The 18,949-nt window shown below is 56.8% G+C and overlaps 1 long non-coding RNA gene and 1 other non-coding gene across 2 annotated transcripts, besides 4 other annotated features; both read right to left on the bottom strand.

Annotated features, from left to right (window-relative positions):
• Positions 1 to 299: 299 nt before the first annotated feature.
• Positions 300 to 10,872, bottom strand: LINC02323 (long intergenic non-protein coding RNA 2323). The gene is made up of 3 exons (NR_146561.1): positions 10,550 to 10,872; positions 5,618 to 5,780; positions 300 to 1,416 (listed from the first exon to the last, which is right to left on the bottom strand). It is a non-coding gene; the product is annotated as a long intergenic non-protein coding RNA 2323 (long non-coding RNA).
• Positions 462 to 881: a silencer, noted in NCBI's record as "silent region_6125". NCBI's record gives its function as "represses an Ori minimal core promoter by ATAC-STARR-seq in GM12878 lymphoblastoid cells {active_cell/tissue: GM12878}" and the evidence as "EXISTENCE:reporter gene assay evidence [ECO:0000049][PMID:35858748]".
• Positions 922 to 991: a silencer, noted in NCBI's record as "silent region_6124". NCBI's record gives its function as "represses an Ori minimal core promoter by ATAC-STARR-seq in GM12878 lymphoblastoid cells {active_cell/tissue: GM12878}" and the evidence as "EXISTENCE:reporter gene assay evidence [ECO:0000049][PMID:35858748]".
• Positions 11,126 to 11,175: a silencer, noted in NCBI's record as "silent region_6123". NCBI's record gives its function as "represses an Ori minimal core promoter by ATAC-STARR-seq in GM12878 lymphoblastoid cells {active_cell/tissue: GM12878}" and the evidence as "EXISTENCE:reporter gene assay evidence [ECO:0000049][PMID:35858748]".
• Positions 11,386 to 11,445: a silencer, noted in NCBI's record as "silent region_6122". NCBI's record gives its function as "represses an Ori minimal core promoter by ATAC-STARR-seq in GM12878 lymphoblastoid cells {active_cell/tissue: GM12878}" and the evidence as "EXISTENCE:reporter gene assay evidence [ECO:0000049][PMID:35858748]".
• On the bottom strand, positions 16,400 to 16,482 carry MIR4309 (microRNA 4309). Its single transcript, NR_036192.1, has one exon. It is a non-coding gene; the product is annotated as a microRNA 4309 (primary transcript).
• Between the last annotated feature and the right edge of the window lie 2,467 nt (positions 16,483 to 18,949).

The following is an 18,949-nucleotide window of genomic DNA, read 5'->3' as shown; positions in this document are numbered from 1 at the left end:
TTTTTTTTTTTTTTTCTTTTTTTTGAGACGGAGTCTCCCTCTGTCGCCCAGGCTGGAGTGCAGTGGCACGATCTCGGCTCACTGACCTTAGCCTCCCGGGTCCAAGCAATTCTCCTATCTCAGCCTACCGAGTAGCTGGGATTACAGGCGCCGGCCACCACGTCCAGCTAATTTTTGTATTTTTAGTAGAGACGGGGTTTCACCAAATTGGTAAGGCTGGTCTCGAACTCCTGACCTCAGGTGATCCACCTGCCTCGGCCTCCCAAAGTGCTGGGATTACAGGCGTGAGCCACCGCGCCTTGCCCTGTGGGGTTTTTTATTTTGGCAGAGGGAGGAGATTTAAGGAAAGAACAACCCGGCTATAAGCCCGAGGGGCTGCTGTGACCCCGCCCCCGTTGTCCACATAAGGAAAATGAGGTCCCGGGAGAGCGGACCAGCACCAGGTCTTCCAGAGAAGCTTCCCTGGGGTCTCCGCGCTGGCGGGGTCTCTCCGCCGCCTCCCCCGCCGCCGGGTCTTTGTCTCGCGGTCACTACGGCTGCGCTTCCGCGCTCTCGCGGCCGCCGGCGGGGCTTTTCCCGGGGGAGCGAGGGCCAGGCCCGGCGTGGGTGGGCGCGGAGGCAGGGGCCGCGGCCTGGACGCCAATGTCAGCGCGAGGGTCGCCCCCGGGACCCGTAGGGCGGGACCGGCCTAGGCCTCCCGCAGGCTCTGCCGTCACCTTCAGGTCGGAGCACGGGGTCCCCTCCCGGCAAATGGGCGCGGAGGAAAGCGAAACGGCCTCGGCGCCGTCCTGCTGTTCCCCACGGGGCGGGGGCAGGACCCGGAAGCCTGGCGCCCCCCGCCCCCCGAGTCTGCGGCCCCACCGGCCCCCACCGGCCGATCGTCCTGGGGGGTCCGAGCCTTTCTGCTGCGGCCCCGCCGGGCACGTGGATGCGAGTCCACGCGGTTGGGGAGGTCGCTGGAAACGGGGCGCAGCAGGTGCTGGTTGCCTGGGAGCGACTGTCGGTGTTCTGAACACAACGTGGCGGCCCGGGTTGAGTCGATTCATTCATCTAACGCCCAGGAGCCAGTCCATGGCAAGCCTGGGCTGGCGCTGGCCTGGGCGCGACAAGACCCAAAGCGAGGTGGCCTCGCCCCAGCCAAGTGGCTGCCCCAGTGACTACCCGGTCCCGGATTTAAGCAGAGCTCAGCCGGGATCTGAAGATGTAGGAGGCCACCAGGAAGGGCACTGAGCGCTGAGGGAACGTCCTGGACAAAGGCCCAGAGGTTCGAAGTCTGCGGCCTTTCACCAGCTGAAAGAAAAGCTCATCGCAGGAGTGAGGGGCCAGAAGACAAGTCCCAGAGAGGGAAGGGGCTGGGACCTGTGCGCAAGTACTGCGCTTGGGCTGCGACCTGTGCAATCCCATAGGGTCCTGAGCCTAGAAGAGACCACACTTGGTTTTAATATGCTGCTGTTGCCATCTTGAAATTCTTAATAATTTTTTAACAAGAGTCCCTGTAGTTTCTTTCTCTCTCTTTCCTTCCTTCCTTTCTTCCTTTTTTTTTTTTTTTTTTTTTTTTTGTGAGACAGAGTTTCGCTCTTGTCCCCCAGGCTGGAGTGCAATGGCATGCTATGATCTCGGCTCAACTGCAACCTCCGACTCCTGGGTTCAAGTGATTCTCCTGCCTCAGCCTCCCAAGTAGCTGGGATTACAGGCATGTGCCACCACACCCGACTAAATTTGTATTTTTAGTAGAGACGGGGGTTTCTCCATATTGGTCAGGCTGGTCTCGAACTCCCGACCTCAGGTGATCCACCCATCTTGGCCTCCCAAAGTGCTGGGATTACAGGCATGAGCCACCGTGCCTGGCCCGTAGTTTCATTTTACAGTAGCCTGCCCTATAAGGAGCATGGCAGAGCCAAGGGAGAGTTTGTTATGTTTTTTTTTAAACACTGATAAAAATATACATAGCAAAATTTACCATTATAGTTTTTTTTTTCTTTTTTTTTTTGAGACAGTCTCGCTCTGTCGCCCAGGCTGGAACACAGTGGCATAAACTTGGTTTACTTTGCAACCTCTGCCTCCCAGTTTCAAGCAATTCTCGTGTTTCAGCCTCCCAAGTAGCTGAGATTACAGGCGTGCGCCACCACGCATGGCTAACTTTTGTATTTTTAGTAGAGACAGGGTTTCACCATGTTGGCCAGGCTGATATTGAACTCCTGACCTCAGGTGATCCACCCACCTTGGCCTCCCAAAGTGTTGGGATTACAGACAGGCATGAGCCACCACACCTGGCCAGCATTCCTTTTAAATAATATACCACATTCAATTAAAAAAAAAAATTAGCCAGGTGTGCCCGAGGTGGGAAGATCACTTGAGCCCAAGAGGTTTAGGCTGTAGTTACCTGTGATCTCTCCACTGTACTCCAGCCTGGGCGACAGAGTGGGACCCTGTATCAAAATTAAATAAACAAACAAAGATAACACATTAGTTTATTCCTTTACCAGTTGATGGATAATTGGGTTGTTTCTAGTTTGGGACAATTGTGCATAAAACAGCTGGCATTTAAAAAAATAAGGAAGACAGCCGGGTGTGGTGGCTCATGCCTGTAATCCCAACACTTTGGGAGGCCGAAGCGGGCAGATCACGAGGTCAGGAGTTCGAGACTAGCCTGACCAACATGGTGAAACCCTTTCTCTACTAAAAATAGAAAAACTAGCCGGGCATGGTGCTGTGTGCCTGTAATCCCAGCTACTCAGGAGGCTGAGGCAGGAGAATCGCTTGAACCTGGAAGGCAGAGGTTGCAGTGAGCCAAGATTGCACCACTGCACTCCAGCCTGGGCAATAGGGCAAGACTCCGTCTCAAAACGAAAACAAAAAACATAAGGAAGACTAAACAAGAGCATGGTGTGCTGTAAGGGCAGGCCTGTTCGTGGAGCCTTTGTTTCAGGTGTGTGTGTTTGAGCGTACAGTGCTGGATGAAGCACAGTCTGTCCTGTGGCCACGTGGAGAAGCCCTCTCAAGAGTGCTTGCTCCGGGAGGCCTGCAGGACCCTGTGTCCCTGGTCTGGAACAAGTGGGAGTTCACCTTAGAACTCAGCAAGACTTGCTCTGGGCAAGGCTGGGAGTGGGGAGGTCACTCTGGGCTTGGAGAGAAAACCCCACCTGGCCCCAGACACCTGGAACCCGGTGGCTGGGACAACCAAGTGGTCTCAGAGTGGGTGTCTGTGCTGCCCCTGCTCTCAGGCCTCCACACTCTCAGACCCCACCCTTCCTTTAGGGCCAGGGAAAGCCAGAGTGGGGCCCCAGCCTCTGCTCCAGAGTCCTCAGCTGCCCTCCCCACCCCTGCCATCCATGTCAGAACTTCCTCCCATAGGCCGGGCGCGGTGGCTCATGCCGGTAATCCCAGCACTTTGGGAGGCCGAGGCGGGCGGATCATGAGGTCAGGAGTTCAGCCTGGCTAACACAGTGAAACCTCATCTCTACTAAAAAATACAAAAATTAGCCTGTGTAGTGACACGTACCTGTAGTCCCAGCAACTCGCAACGCTGAGGCGGGAGAATCGCTTGAACCCAGGAGAGGGAGGTTGCAGTGAGCCGAGATTGTGCCACTGCACTCCAGCCTTGGTGACAGTGAGACTTCGTCTCAAAACAAAACAAAACAAAAAACTTCCTCCCCTGCTAAGTCCCAAAAGCCAGGGCTGAGGGAGGCAAGGGGCCTCCAGGAAGGGACCCAGACACCCGCTAGGGCCTCAGACCGGGCACCCACCTTGGTTCTGGAAATACACCAGTGCCAAAATCAGGCTCCCTGGCAGAACAGCAAGTGGGACTTGGTCAGGCTGCTCCAGCCGGAAGAGAGGTGTGGCTTGACTTGGCCCATCTCAGGACTGCAGGGGCCCCTGGGCGTGGGAGGTGGGGAGTGAGTCAGGGTTATTAGACAATATGTCACTCCAAGGTTGGGGCTGCCATGCCCATTGCTGAGTCGAGGAAACTGAGGCTTGGAGGCCAGGTGCCTGGGCCCTGCCACGGGAGGGCCTGGAGTCATGGGGCAGGCAGCTCAGACCAGAATTCTGACCCATACCCTGTCCCACTCAATTCCTGAAGCCTTTCCTTCATAGCCCCTCCCCGGGATCCCAAGATAGGCTCTCTGCCCTGTCCAGCTGTTCCCTGCCTCTTCTCCTAGGAGAGGGGCTTTTGTTATCCCCATTTTTTAGAGGAGGAAACTGAGGCCCAGAGATGTAATGTAAGTTGCCCAAGGCCACCTTAAGGTATACCAAGGGGGTAAGAGGCCATATTACCAGAAAGGGGTCCTCATCCAGACCCCAAGAGAGGGAGGATTCTTGGATCTCACACAAGAAAGAATTCCAGGCGAGTCCATAGAGTAAACTGAAAGCAAGTTGATTAGGAAAAAAGAATTGCTAGTTCACATACAGAGCAGCCCTGAGGGCTGCTGGTTGCCCTTTTTTTTTTTCTTTGAGACAGAGTTTCACTCTTGTTGCCCAGGCTGGAGTGCAATGGCACGGTCTCGGCTCACCACAACCTCCACCTCCTGGGTTCAAGCGATTCTCCTGACTCAGCCTCCCAAGTAGCTGGGATCAAACCCGGCTAATTTTTATATTTTTAGTAGAGACGGGGTTTCACCATGTTGGCCAGGCTGGTCTCTAACTCCTGGCCTCAAGTGATCCACCCACCTCAGCCTCCCAAAATGCTGGGATTATAGGCATGAGCCACCACACCCAAAGGTTATTTCTTGATTATATGCAAAACAAGGGGTGGATTATTCATGCCTCCCCTTTTCAGACCATATAGGGTAACTTCCTAACGTTGCCATGGCATTTGTAAATTGTTATGGTGCTGGTGGGAGTGTAGCAGTGAGGATGACCAGAGGTCACTCTTGTCACCATCTTGGTTTTGGTGGGTGTTGGCCGGCTTGTTTACTCCAAGTTGTTTTATCAGCAAGGTCTTTATGACCTGTATCTTGTGCCGACCTCCTATCTCATCCTGTCTTAGAATGCCTTAACCCTCTGGGAGTGCAGCCCATCTAGGTCTCAGCCTCACTTTACACAGCCCCTATTCAAAATGGAGTTGCTCTGGTTCAAATGCCTCTGACAGCCAGAATCACCTTCCAGCCAGGGACTGTGCTCCAGACAGGGACTCTCAGCCATCTCCCCACCCCCCATCACCAGTGCCCAGGCCCACAGTGGCAGCCCCAGAGATAGCCCTGTGCCCTTGGGGAGTGCCAGCAACCAAGGAACCCCCAGAAGTCCCTTTCTTCTTCTTCTTTTTTTGAGACAGGGTCTCGCTATGTTCCCCAGGCTGGTCTTGAACTCCTAGGCTCAAGTGATTCCCCGCCTCAGCCTTCCAAAGTGCTGGGATTACAGGTGTGGGTCACTGCACCCAGCCCAGAAATCCCTTCCTGACCCAAAGTCACCAGCATTCTTCCTCCTTACTCTCCTTTCCTCACAGCTGTCCACACAGCTGCTGGGGCCTGGGACACCTGGCCTATGACGAGTGTACCTAGATGGACCTGGCATCCCAGGGCAGGTTCGTAGGGCATCCCAGGGCAAAAGAAAGCCTCGTAGGATGTGCTGAGGGGTTCCATCTGTCGCATAATTAATAAAAGCAAAGTTCTGCACCAACCTGAGCACCCATCACGGGGGACCAGGTGCAGGGGGTTCCTGCACAGGGGCCTGGAAAAGGAGGAAGACAGATCTTTCTGGATGTCTTGACATTGAAGGAGCTCCTGGACAGATTGCTGAGTGAGTGAAGCAGGGTGCAGACTTGGGTGCTGCGAGAGATCATTCTGTGGAGGAGAGAGGAAGGCAGGGAGAAAGTGACAGAGATAGGCTGGGGCGCAGTGGCTGATGCCTGTAATACCAGCCCTTTGGGAAGCCAAAGAGGGTGGATTGTCTGAGCTCAAGAGTTTGAAACCAGCCTGGCCAACAGGGCAAAACGCCATCTCTGCTAAGAATACAAAAAGTTAGCCAGGCATGGTGGTGCATGCCTGTGGTCCCAGCTACTTGGGAGGCTGAGGCGGGAGAATCACCTGAGCCTGGGAGGCAGAGGTTGCAGTGAGCTGAGATCACACCACTGCACTCCAATCTGAGTGAACGAGTGAGATCCTGTCTCAAAAAAAAAAAAAAAAAAAGGCCAGGCACGGTGGCTCACACCTGTAATCCCAGCACTCTGGGAGGCTGAGGCGGGTGGATCACCTGAGGTCAGGAGTTTGAGACCAGCCTGGCCAACATGGTGAAACCCCGCTTCTACTAAAAATACAAAAAAAATTAGCTGGGCATGGTGGCAGGCACCTGTAATCCCAGCTACTCAGGAGGCTGAGGCAGGAGAATCACTTGAACCCAGGAGGTGGAGGTTGCAGTGAGCCGAGATCCTGCCACTGCACTCCAGCCTGGGTGACAGAGTGAGACTGTTAAAAAAAATAAATAAAACAAAATAGCCGGGCATGGTGGCGGGCACCTACAGTCCCAGCTACTCGGGAGGTTGAGGCAGAAGAATCGCTTGAACCCGGGAGGTGGAGGTTGCAGTGAGCTGAGATCGTGCCATTGCACTCCAGCCTGGGCGACAGAGTGAGACTCCGTCTGCCAAAAAAAAAAAAAAAAAAAAAAAAGCCAGGTGCTGCAGTGGTGCATGCCTGTAGTTCCAGCTACTTGAGAGACTGAAGTGGGAGGATCATGAGCCCAGGATTTCGTGGCTGCAGTGAGCTATGATCATGCCTGTGAATAGCCATTGTACTCCAGCCTGGGCAACATAGCGAGACCCCCTTTCTAACAACAAAAGAAAACCTGGTCAGAGCCTTCAGAGTCTCCCCAAGAAATGTCTATGGAGATGGGAGACTCCTAGGGTGGGGGAAACCCACTCGGGGCCCGAGGCTCCTTCTCCACCCCAAGGAGGATCCAAGCTCACCCCCACCACTATCCTCTCAAATCCCCCCAGCCCCAGGAACGCCCACCTCCCCCAGGCCCCAGGCAGTTACTATATTCTCCTGGTGCAAGCTCTGGTTACTGTAATTTCTGGTGTATGAGCCCCTGAGGGTTCCCAGGGGATATTGTTCCTCCCCCATCTCTGCCTCTAAATGGGAGCCTGTCCCCCAGGGAACTTCACTGTTCACTCTTCAAGGATGCTTCTCCTCCCCTACCCCTTTCTCTATTAATTACTGTATATTTTTATCCAAGTAATGCAATAAAGTATAGGCACATGATATGCATAGAATTTTAAAAGGCAAATAGACATAGTGAAAAGCAGCAGCCCCTCCCCACCTATCCCACTCTTAATCCTCCCCAGAGACAGCCACATTCAACTTTTTTGGCTTCTTTTTCTGGATTTTATCTCCATGTTTATAAATAACATTCTTGTGCTGTTGTTACTTGATTTAACAACCCAGCCATTATCTACTGGCTTTCCCTTACAGAAGATGAGTTTCACATTTTTTACACTCTTCCGTGCAACACCCCCCTCCCCATACTCTCCCTGTGTCACCTCTCATTATCAATATAGAGCAATTTCGGATCAAATCAATATTCAGTTTCATTATAATGATTATATAAACATTGTTTGCTACTGAGCCAACTAATGCACTGTGGTTAAGTTTCCTTTCTGGTTTAACTTTCAGTTTTTCATGAAGTTAATAATTGCCTTTCTTTTTAGTTGCTTAGTGTAGTTAGGGTCCTTCCAAAATAACTCCCAGGCTGGAGGCAGTGGCTTACGCCTATCATCTTAGCACTTTCGGAGGCTGAGAAGGGTGGATTGCCTGAGCTCAGGAGTTCGAGGTCAGCCTGGGCAACACGGTGAAATCTGTCTCTATTAAAATACAAAAAAAATTTAGCTGGGCGTGGTGGCATGTGCCTGTAGTCTCAGCTATGCGAGAGACTGAGGCAGGAGAATCGCTTGAACCCGGGAGGCAGAGGTTGCAGTGAGCCAAGATCACACCACTGCACTCCAGCCTGGGCGACAGAGCGAGACTCTGTCTCAAAAAAAAAAAAAAAAAAAAAAGTAGCTCCCAAAGATCCCTGCCCTCGGTGTTTGCACCGTTTTGTAGTCCCTCCTGTTGAGTGTGGGAATGACCTGTGACTCGCTGGAACCAACAGGACAAAGGTGATGGAATATATGGGATTACATCACATAAGACTGTTGTGCCTATCTCGCTTGAGTCTCTTCCCCTCTCACTGGCTTAGAAGAAGGAAGCTGCTGCTGGGCATGGTGGCTCACACCTGTAATCCCAGCACTTTGGGAGGCCAAGGTGGGTGGGTCGCCGGAGGTCGGGAGTTCGAGACCAGCCTGACCATCATGGAGAAACCCCGTCTCTACTAAAGATACAAAACTAGCCAGGCATGGTGGCACATGCCTGTAATCCCAGCTACTTGGGAGGCTGAGGCAGGAGAATCACTTGAACCCAGAAGGCAGAGGTTTCGGTGAGCCGAGATCTCTCCACTGCACTCCAGCCTGGGTGACAGAGTGAGACTCTGTCTCAAAAAAAGAAAAAGAAGGAAGCTGCCATGCTGTTACACTGAAAGGCCCCCATGGCAAGGAACTGCCATGTGGAGATAACAGCTTGCCTCTAGGATCTAAGGACAGCCTCTAAATCCAATAGTTGGCAAAAAACAAACAAACAAAACAAAACTGAAGCCCTCAGTCCTACAGCAGCAAATAACTGAACTCCACCAGCAACTTCGGTGGCTCAGAAGCGTATCCTTCCCCAGCCAAATTCAACTGAAATCCCAGTGGGACCCTTGATTGCAGCTTTGTGAGACCCTAAGCAAATGACCAGCTTAATCATGCACAGACTCCTGATGTGGAGAAACTGTAAGATAAATATGTGTTCAGTTATTTATTTTTCTCCTTCCTTCCTCCCTCCCTTCCTTCCTCTTTCTTTCCTTCCTTTTTCCTTCCTTCCTTCCTTCATTCTCTCCCTCCCTCCCTCCGTCCCTCCGTCCCTCCCTTTCTTCCTTCCTTTCTCTCTCTCTCTGTCTCTCTCTTTCTTTCTTTCTCTCTTTTTTTCTTTCCAGTCTTGCTCTCTTGCCCAGGCTGGAGTGCAGTGGTGTGATCTCGGCTCACTGGCACCTCCGCCTCCCAGGCTCAAGCAATCCTCCCACCTCAACCTCCCGAGCCAGCTGGGACTACAGGTGCACACCACCATGCCCGGCTAGTTTTTGTATTTTTTTGTAGAGATTTTTTTTTTCAAGATGGAGTCCTGCTCTGTCGCCCAGGCTGGAGTGCAGTAGTGGAATTTCAGCTCACTGCAAACCTCCGCACCCCAGGTTCCAGCGATTCTCCTGCCTCAGCCTCCCAAGTACCTGGGATTACAGGCGCCCACCACCACACCTGGCTAATTTTTGTATTTTTAATAAAGATGAGGTTTCACCACATTGCCCAGGCTGCTCTTGAACTCCTGGACTCAAGCGATCCACCTGCCTCCGTCTCCCAAAGTGCTGGGATTACAGGCGTGAGCCACCATGCCCTACCCTGGTAATTTCTTTCTTTTTTTTTTTTTTTTTGAGACAGAGTCTCACTCTGTCACCCAGGCTGGAGTGCACGATCTCAGCTCACTGCAACCTCTGCCTCTCAGGTTCAAGCAATTCTGCTGCCTCAGCCTCCCAAGTAGCTGGGACTACAGGCGCCTGCCACCACGCCCGGCTAATTTTTGTGTTTTTAGTAGAGACGGGGTTTCACCATATTGGCCAGGCTGGTCTCAAACTCCTGACCTTGTGATCTGCCTGCCTCGGCCTCCCAAAGTGCTGGGATTTACAGGCATGAGCCACCGTGCCCGGCCAGCGTGAGGTTTAGACTCAGAGTTTAACCAGATTCCCCCACTGTCCGCCGGTGAAGCCTGTCCATAGGACAGGTCCTAGTTTTCATAGGGTCTTCCCTGCCCCGTCGCCTGCCTGCCCCCCACCATCCGCCTCCTCCACCCATACACAGAGGCCCCCGACCGCTTCCTATCTGCACCTTAGCAGCCCCCAGCAGAGAGAGACGCTGGCAGACAGGTCGGGATGCCTTACACTCAGACTCCCATGGAGAGGGTGCTGGGCTCACTGCTGTCCCCTCTCTCGAGACTTCCTCCTCCACTGGCTCATCCCCAGCCTGGGCCACCTCGCCTAGGCAGTCTTCCTTAAGCGGCCCCGGCAGAATTCGGTTCTTCGTCCTGTTCGGCTCATCCCAGCCAAGAATCTTACTGTATTCCACAAACAACTGCAAAGCAGGCCTCACAACCACCTCCCTCCCCCTCCTCACCACCCGCACCAGGGTCGGGAAGCACCGTCTGGGAGTTGCAGGATGAAGCAACGATTCTTTTCTTCCCCGGCTTGCAGAGCCCTGGGAAGGCACAGAGGCCCGAGGGATCTAGTAAAATACGAATGAGCCACTCTGCACCCAGCTGTGGCTCCTCGGGCTGCTGGGCTGAGATCCAGAGGCTGCATGTGGCCCGCAGGCCTCCTTTCTGCTCCCCACCCCCACCCCGCTGTTCTTTCAAGGGAGCCCTGGAATCCTCTCTCAGGGCCAACCGCTGGGGGCACTTTCTTCCCCCAGCCCTGCCCCCTCTCTAGTCCCGTCCAAACTCACCCTGCAGGTCTCCCCGTGTCTCCTACTGGGAATCTCTGGATAGCCCCTTCCCCACAGTTCTGTGACACATGTCACCCTTGGAAATGGCTCAGGTGTGGTTCCTGGCTGTAAACGCGGGGCAGACAGTGGGGCTGTGTCACCCCCGCCAGGCACCAGGCTGTCTCACAGAGCCCTGGAAGAGTCAGGCTCCTGGTCTCCGGTTAAAGCACTGCCCCGACCCTATGTGCCGTCTGTAAAATGCGTCAAGGATTCCCCCTTCCCCACAAGGCCGGGGGCTTGAAGGGGAGACGAGGCCCAGAGGAGGCGGCGGCCCGGCCGTCCGGGTGGGTTGGGGGTGGACAAGTTTGCAAGGCGAGGCCGGGTTTGGAAAGCAATCGGATTACTCCTCCCCATCAGGGCTGGAGACAGGGTTCAGAGTCCCCACTTAATCTCCTGGGGGAGGAGAGGTGCGCACGCGCGGGGTGGGGAACCGTCCGCACGCGACCCCCCCCACCCCCCGCCCGGGGAGCCGGGACGCGGTGGGGAGGGGCGGGGAAGCCACTGAGGCCCGTCCGGGAGCCTTGAAGGGGCGCAGGCGGAACGGAGGCCGTCGGGTTCGGGTTCCCGTCTCGGGGACACCCCGCCCCGGAGGCCTCGGGCCGCGCCTTCCTCCTGAACCTGCGGGGTGTGGGATCCCGGGGAGGAGACGGCGGTGCCGCCTCCGGGTGTTTCTGCGCCTCCCCTAGCTGTGTCCTCGACGACCGCGCCCGCCGGCAGCGGACAAGAACTCGCCGCCACGCCCAGGCCGTCGCCCCATTTCACAGACTGGAAGGCGAGGCGGGGCCTCCCGGGGCCGCGCGCAGGTCCTCCAGCCCCGACCCGGCAGGCGCCCCCCTCCCCGGCCGCGCAGCAGGAGGAGCCCGGGCCTCTCGGATTTCGCCCGCCGCGGCCCCCGGCCCCCGGCCCCTGGCGCAGATGTTCTCCCGCGGGGCGTTCCGGGCAGCGTTTCAGGGGCCCTTAGCTGGTTTTGCGGGGCGGGAATGGGCCGCCCAAGGAGCCGTCACCACCTGGCAAGGCTTAGGGAGCCACTGGCCGGGATGGGGAGCCCCGCGGGCTGGGCGGATGCGGGGAGCCAGGCTCCCCACGGCCGCACCCTCTTCCCTCCTCCCAGTTCCCTGGCAAGGGAGGGGGGAAACTAAGGCTCAAAGAGGTTGGGTCACTTTCTCAGACTCAGCTATCCGGCTTTGAGCAGAGCCCTAAAGGATGGGAAAGATCTGGACGTTTGGAGAAGGGAGAGGGACAGGTTAGGCAGGAGAATGACTCGGACAAAGGCTGGAAATGCGGGTGGAGGCCTGTGGCCAGCTAGGCTGGACTAGGTGGTGGGGACGGCACACCCGCCCCTCTGGGGGGTGGTCAGTGGAGCCTTTGCTGGCATCTGGGGGCTGGGTGGATACATGCAGCTGGGAGGAGCCGGGCAGAGTGGTCCAGTGTTTGCTGGAGAGATTCCGAGGCTGGTCGGGAGGGACAGAGACAGACACTGGGACAGGCAGACAGGCCTTGGCCAGGGCTTGTGGCCCCTGGTGAGTGCTGGACATTGATTCTGGGGAGACACCAAATATCTGCATTTGTTGGGTGGTGGTGGGGGCGGGGGAGGGCGGAGTAGGCAGGATTCTTGTGGCCCTCTGCAAAAATTCCTCATCTGCACTCTCAAAGGTATGAGAGGCCAAATGCCGTGGCTCATGCCTGTAATCCCAGCACTTTGGGAGGCCGATGTGAGAGGACAGGAGTTCAAGACCAACCTGGCCAACATAGCAAGACCCCATCTCTAATACGTGCATATATATATTTAAAAAAATAAAATAAAAAGGTCTGGGAAAGGTTAGGACGTCTGTTGGGCTCCCTGGAGAGGGAGGTGCCCAGCAGTGTGACAGCCTGGCCTAAGGGTCAGGTTGCTTCATGAAGAGTGATGGCTCCCAGGGGCTGAGGGCAGAGGCTAGAGGGCAGGGTGCTGGGCACATAGGCTGGACTAGCTGGGGCAATGGATGGGGGGGCACCGCCCCGGGTGGGGCACCTGGGACACGTGGCCTCAGGGCTGGTGAGCTGGCAGGCCACATCTGGGGCATCAGCCCAGACAGGGTCTGGGGCAGCACTGGCCCAATGAGAGGGTAAAGAATGTGGCCATGCTCCCACCCAGCCACCGGAACGGAAAGCTTGCCCCCTGTGGGCCTTGACCCCACGCTGCCCTGCTCCTGTGCCATCACATGGCCAGGCTGCTCCTGCAGAGGAGTCCACACCACTGCAGCCTCCCTTCCTGGCCTCCCCCACATTCTAGCTGACTCCCTCTTCCCTGGGCCATCTTTAGACACAGAGCCCTTGGTCCCTGACCTTAGCCCTCTTCTGTCTAACCTCCAAACCCTCTCCTGGGGGTGAGCTCCTCTCCCCAACCCTCTGCCCTCCACCCCTGGCTTAGGGCACCCACAGAGCCTCTTCTGATGTCACCTTTTCCTGAACTGATCCAATATCAGCTCCCATGGGGGACATAGTGCCATATCTTGCAGGCTCTGAGGCACAGCCTGCCCAGCCCAGCTTCCTCCTTGGGTACAAACCCATGTAGACTGGAATCCCAGCCAGCTCCAGAGCTCTTATGGGCTGAGGGATTTGAGAACAAGACACTTTTCCTCTCTCTCTCTTTTTTTTATTTTATTTATTTATTTATTTTTGAGATAGAGTCTCGCTCTGTCACCCAGGCTGGAGTGCAGTGGCACGATCTTGGCTCACTGCACCCTCCATCTCTTGGATTCAGGCAGTTTTCTGCCTCTGCCTCCTGAGTAGCTGGGATTATAGGCGCCCGCCACCACGCCCCACTAATTTTTGCATTTTTAGTAGAGACGGGGATTCACCTTGTTGGCCAGGCTAGTCTCGAACTCCGACCTCACGATCCACCCACCTCGGCCTCCCAAAGTGCTGGGATTACAGGCGTGAACCACTGTGCCTGGCCACTTCTCTTCTCTTTATTATTCCGTAAAGTGAGGCTCACATGCCGAGCCCAAGGTGGTAGTGAGGGCTCAACATAAAGTTCTTGGAGCAGTGCCTGGACAGAGTAAGTGTTCGAGTATGACTACGATCCATTCCAAGAGCGGACCCCTTACCAACTTTGTAGGACTCCTCACCGGGCGCTCATCATACTCAGCCTCCAGGAAGGCCCCCAGCAATCCCTGCCTCCTGCTGTCTGTTCCCTTGTGTACTCCCTGAGTGTGGGTAGGACTGGGTGACTTAGGAATAGAATACGACCCACATGGCCCAGCACAGTGGCTCACGCCTGTAATCCCAGAACTTTGGGAGGCTCAGATGGGCAGATCACAAGGTCAGGAGATTGAGACCAGCCTGGCCAACATGGTGAAACCATGTCTCTACTAAAAATACAAAAATCAGCCTGGGCGTGGTGGCAGGCGCCTGGACTCCCAGCTACTCGGGGGGCTGAGGCAGGAGAATCGCTGGGATTATAGGCGTGAGTCACCGCACCTGGCCAAAAAAAGACCAACTTTTGTTTTGGGTAGTGGTGGCCCCCCCTTCTTGCTCTCTTGCCCTGGGGAGAGTCAGCTGTCCCAGGCCGGAGAGGCGAAGGTGGCCAGGAGCTGAAGGCTTCCCCCTGTGGGTGAGCTTGGAAGAAATCCCTCCAAGTCACTGCTGTCCCCTCTGCAGCCTGCTGGAGACCCTGGGCCAGAGCCATGGGCTGGGCCACTTCTGAATTTCTAACCCACCTATGCTGCGAGATGGCGTTTGGTTTTCAGTTGCTAAGCTTTGAGGTAATTGACTATGCAGTAGTAAATAGACACCTAATACCAAAGTTGATTGAAAAAGCCTTTTACAGTAGAAAACAGTCTACTGTAAATGGGAGGCCGAGGTGGGCGGATCACAAGGTCAGGAGTTCGAGACCATCCTGGCTAACACAGTGAAACCCCGTCTCTACTAAAAATAAAAAAATTAGCTGGTCGTGGTGGCAGGTGCCTGGACTCCCAGCTACTCGGGAGGCTGAGGCAGGAGAATCGCTGGAACCCAGGAGGTGGAGGTTGCAGCAACTTGAGATCACGCCACTGCACTCCAGCCTGGGTGACAGTGCTAGACTCCGTCTCAAAACAAAACAAAAAAAAAAAGACCAGCCTGGATAACATGGCGAAACCCCATCTCTACAAAAACTTAAAAAATTAGCCGGGTGTGGTGGTGCACACCTGTAGTAGTCTCAGCTACTTGGGAGGCTGAGGTGGGAGGATCGCTTGAGCTGAGGAGGTCGAGGCTACAGTGAGCTGTGATTGTGCCACTACACTCCAGCCTGGGTGACAGAGCGAGACTGTGGCTCATGCGTATAATCCCAGCACCTTGGGAGGCCGAGGCAGGCAGACCACCTGAGGTCAGGAGTTCAAGACCAGCCTGGCCAACGTGGTGAAACCCCGACGGAGGCTCTGTCCACAGAGCTGTCTGGCAGGTCCTTGCAACTGTACAGCGCAGCCAGCCCAGCCTCCAGGCCTAGTGCCTGGGTTAGTCATGGCCCCTCCATCACAGGCAACGCGTGGCTCTACCGGGAAGGTGCTCAGGTGGAGGAATTTCACACAAGGTGACGGGGGCCAGGGCATGCTTCCGGCAGGAAGTCAGCCCTGGAGATCTCAATACTCACATGTGTGTCTCAGTCACACTGTGTGTTTGTGTGTGCGGAACGTAGAGAGCTGATCACCTCAAGGGACATCCCAGCCCATAGCCCCCCACCGCACACACACCCCCAACGCACACACACAAACATGTTCCCAATGCAAAGCATGCAGTGTTGCCCAATGCGCTCATCCCGGAGGCAGGTGTCCGCTTCGACACCGTGTGGTGACACATGCACGACGGGGGCAGATCCCCAGCACCCGCCTTCTCATTGTGAGCCGCCTTTGTTTTGCATTCAGACACGTGGAGCCCCGGGAACCAAGCTGCAGGGCCAGTGCCTTCCAGCCTTCCAGGCCCGAAGCCTCCAGTCCCTCAGGAGCTCCTCAGGCCTTCAGGAGCCCCGGCAAGCACCCTCCGGCTCCCAAGCCCTTCCGGGCCTGCCAGCGGCCTGCTGTAGAGTGGGGTGGGAAGCCGTTGGGAGGGAGGAGCAGAGGAGTTCTGGTCTCCCCTAGCCGGGCCTCCTGCCGGGACACCTGCCAGCTGCTCCCCACCCCCGGCCTTGGCTCCTGGCCTGGCAGCCCCCGATTCCTCCCCTTCACACACTCAGGACTGCAAAGAAGGCCGGGGGAGGCCCCACTAAAGCACAGCCTCCAAGGTACACCTGGAGACTCGGGGACCTTGGGGGCCCTCAATCCCTCTGGGCCTCAGTTTCCCCCAGAAAGACAGGCCCAGAATCAAGAGGGATCTATGACAATGGGGGTGGGATTAGGCGTGTGTGTGCTTCCTGCGCATCCTGGCAGGCTGTGGGCGTTCTTGGCAGGCATCCACCAGTCCCCAGGCTCTGGAGGAGGAGGCCGGATGGGGGTGGGAGGCTGGGAGCCCCGGGGGAATGAGCTGCACCGCCCACACCGCCATAGGAGCGGCCTCCACACACCCAGCCCAGAGAGGCTGGACCCACAGGGCAGTGGCCTCAGAGGAGATGCTGGGCTCCCTTGCTGGTGTTGGGGAGGGTCGTCTTGGGTGGTCTTCCCCCTACCTTTCGCCCAAAGGTGCTCTGGGACAGACCCCTGACCACCTCCAAAGACTTGGGCCTCAGTCTCCATAGAACGAGGGGTTTCTGGACCACCTGCCAGCTGCCTGGGCAGGGCTGAGCACCAGCACTTTAGGTCCATTGAACTTTGGGGGCTGCCCAGTCCACCCCACTGCTTTCACCTCTGTCCTGGGTTACAAGAGGGGCTTCAAACCGCAGACCCTACAACCCAAGACCTCAAAACCCAGATCCTGGAATCCTAGACTCCAGAACCCCCAGACAGGAACCCGGACCAAGAATGTTCCCCAGAGCTGCTCAGGGGCCACGTAGGGCCTTTCTGTCCTTCTGTGACAAAGACACTTGTCACTCGCGCTCCAGGGATGGGGCATGGAGTGCCTGCCTTCAGAATCTGAAAGGCCTTCTCCAGAAACTCCCGGTCTCCACCCCCGGCCCGCCAAGGGGCGGGTGCATCCCACCTGCTGTGGGCTGAACCTAGTCCTGGTGGCTCTTATCAGTGCCCTGAGAGGTCCCCGGGAGGGAGCCGCATCCCACCAATGGATGAGGACACAGGAGCCCCATGGAGCTCACCCCCAGCCTGGCCTTCCCAGAACAGAAAGATGGCGGCCCCCAGGAGGCCCTCCTGGCCCTGGCCCGGGTCGGCTGAGGGCAGGGCCTGGTGACAGTTTCCGGTGTGTCCTCCGCAACAGCCTTCTCAGGCTCTCACCCTCACCCCACCCCAGAGTCTCTGTACACCCCTGCTTGGACAGCTGGGGGGCACATAGAGCATGACTCCGGCCCACCAGGGCCAGGGTGGGGGCTGCACCCCAAATGCCTTTGGCCTGAGTCCTCTAGCGGTTGGGAGGAGCCACCCTGACAGGGGCATCAGGTGATGTCCTAATTGCATCCAGTTAGGATCCAGTAGGCCTCAGTGGGCCCCAATAGCAGCTGGGGCCAGGCCTGGAGGAGGGGATCTGAGCCCTGGGCCGGCCGGGCAGCTACGCAGGACTCTGCGGGGCCGGGCATGGCCTGGCGTTTCACACGACCCAGTCCCATCCCTGGGCCTCAGTCTTCTGTGTGTGGAACAGGAACACCCCCTTGAGGGCTGTGGTGAGGACCCGATGATACTGGCGAAGTGCCCTGGGCCCAGCTGGCCCTCCTGTCTTGGTCCCGGGGCATGGTGGGAAGGGAGCTGGGGGGCAGAGTGTGGCAGGGTCATCCCCCTCCTGACTTCCTGGCGTGGCATTGAGTTGGGAAAGGTTGCAAAGGGGTGAGCTCTCCTGAACTGGTGGCCCAGGCAGCTGGGGAGGGGCAGCACAGCGCAGAGTGCCCCTGCTGGGTGCTGGGTGGGGCACCAGTGTCCAGAACGCTCAACACAGCCCTCCCCTTGGGGCTGCAAGGCCCCCACCCCATATTAGCCTGGCAGCACTGGGGATGTGGCACCAACACCTTCCAGTGGAAGTGTCTGTGACGGGAGGTGAAGGCTGGGTATTTAAACATCTGGAACCAGCTCTGAAGGCCAGGCCCGCTGTGGGGGGTTTGGGTTCCAGCCAGCCGCGCAGCGTGGGAAGGATCACAGCAGTGTGGGCCAGTGGAGAGCGGTGGCTGGCTCCAAGTACAGATTCTGCCTCAGTTTCTCCATGGGTGTCTTGGGGGCTGGTCTTCCTCAGCCCCAGCTGCCTGCCCTTCTCGCCCCCCCACAGCTCATTTCTGCAGGTGGCCCTCCCTCCAGCCCCGGCTGGGCCCCTTCCCTGTGGCTGAGTTACCCCCGGCCTGCCCCTGCCAGTGGGGCTCCTGCTCCCACGGGGGCATCCTTCACACATTTTTTCCCAAACCGCCCCTCTCCCGCGTCATCACAGCTCCTTGGATTTACATCGGCCAGAGCAGCAGGCCTGGGCCTCCTGTTCACCAGCCATCCCTGTCACTGAAGCTGGTGTGCCCTGGGGCAGGGTCAGGGATGTGGCACAGAAGGCTGCCCGGCAAGTGCCTGAGGAAAGAGGGAAAGTCTGAATGCACAGAAACAAACACATCAACAGATGCTATTCACAGCTCACGAGAATCCCATGATATCCCCATTTACAGAAGTAGTGGGCACAGAGAGGTTAAGCAACTTGCCTGGAGTCACACAGCCTGGAAGTGGCAGAGCTGGGATTTGAAGTCAGATGAGTGACAGCCTTCAGCAGCAGGCCCTTTCCCTGAAAAATGGGACCTCCTGGAGGCTGGATAAGGCCTCAGTGGAGACACTGTGGCCCTCACAGCAAGTCTGACAGACACACAAACAGAGACTTCAGGTCTTGCCCTGGGAGGAGAAGGAGCTGGCCCTGCTTCCTCTCCTGCCTGGGGAAGGATGTGCACACACCAGGAAGCCACCAAGAGGGGCTCAGATCCCAGCAGGTTTGCCCTTGGCCTGGGCCCCAGACCCCCCTGTGGTCCTAGGTCTGAGGACCTGCCTGGGGACAGGGCTGGGCCGCTGGTCCCAGGGCCTTGCAGCCCCAAGGGGAGGGCTGTGTTGGGCATCCTTGAAACTGGTGCCCCACCCAGCACCCTGACGTACTCCCCTGGGGGTCAGCTCTCCACAGCAGCTGAGGTTGGAGGGCTTAGGGGCCCCAGAAGTGCCTTGCCGGTCAGTCACCCTCAGAGCACCAGGGAGGACTCTCCCAGGAGCTTATTAGAAATGGAGGGTCCAGCCGGGCGCAGTGGCTCACACCTGTAATCCCAGCACTTTGGGAGGCCGAGGCGGGAGGATCACG

This window comes from Homo sapiens, chromosome 14, assembly GCF_000001405.40.
Source record: "Homo sapiens chromosome 14, GRCh38.p14 Primary Assembly".
NCBI classification, from domain to species: Eukaryota; Metazoa; Chordata; class Mammalia; order Primates; family Hominidae; genus Homo; species Homo sapiens.
This window is presented reverse-complemented; position numbering and strand designations above follow the sequence as displayed.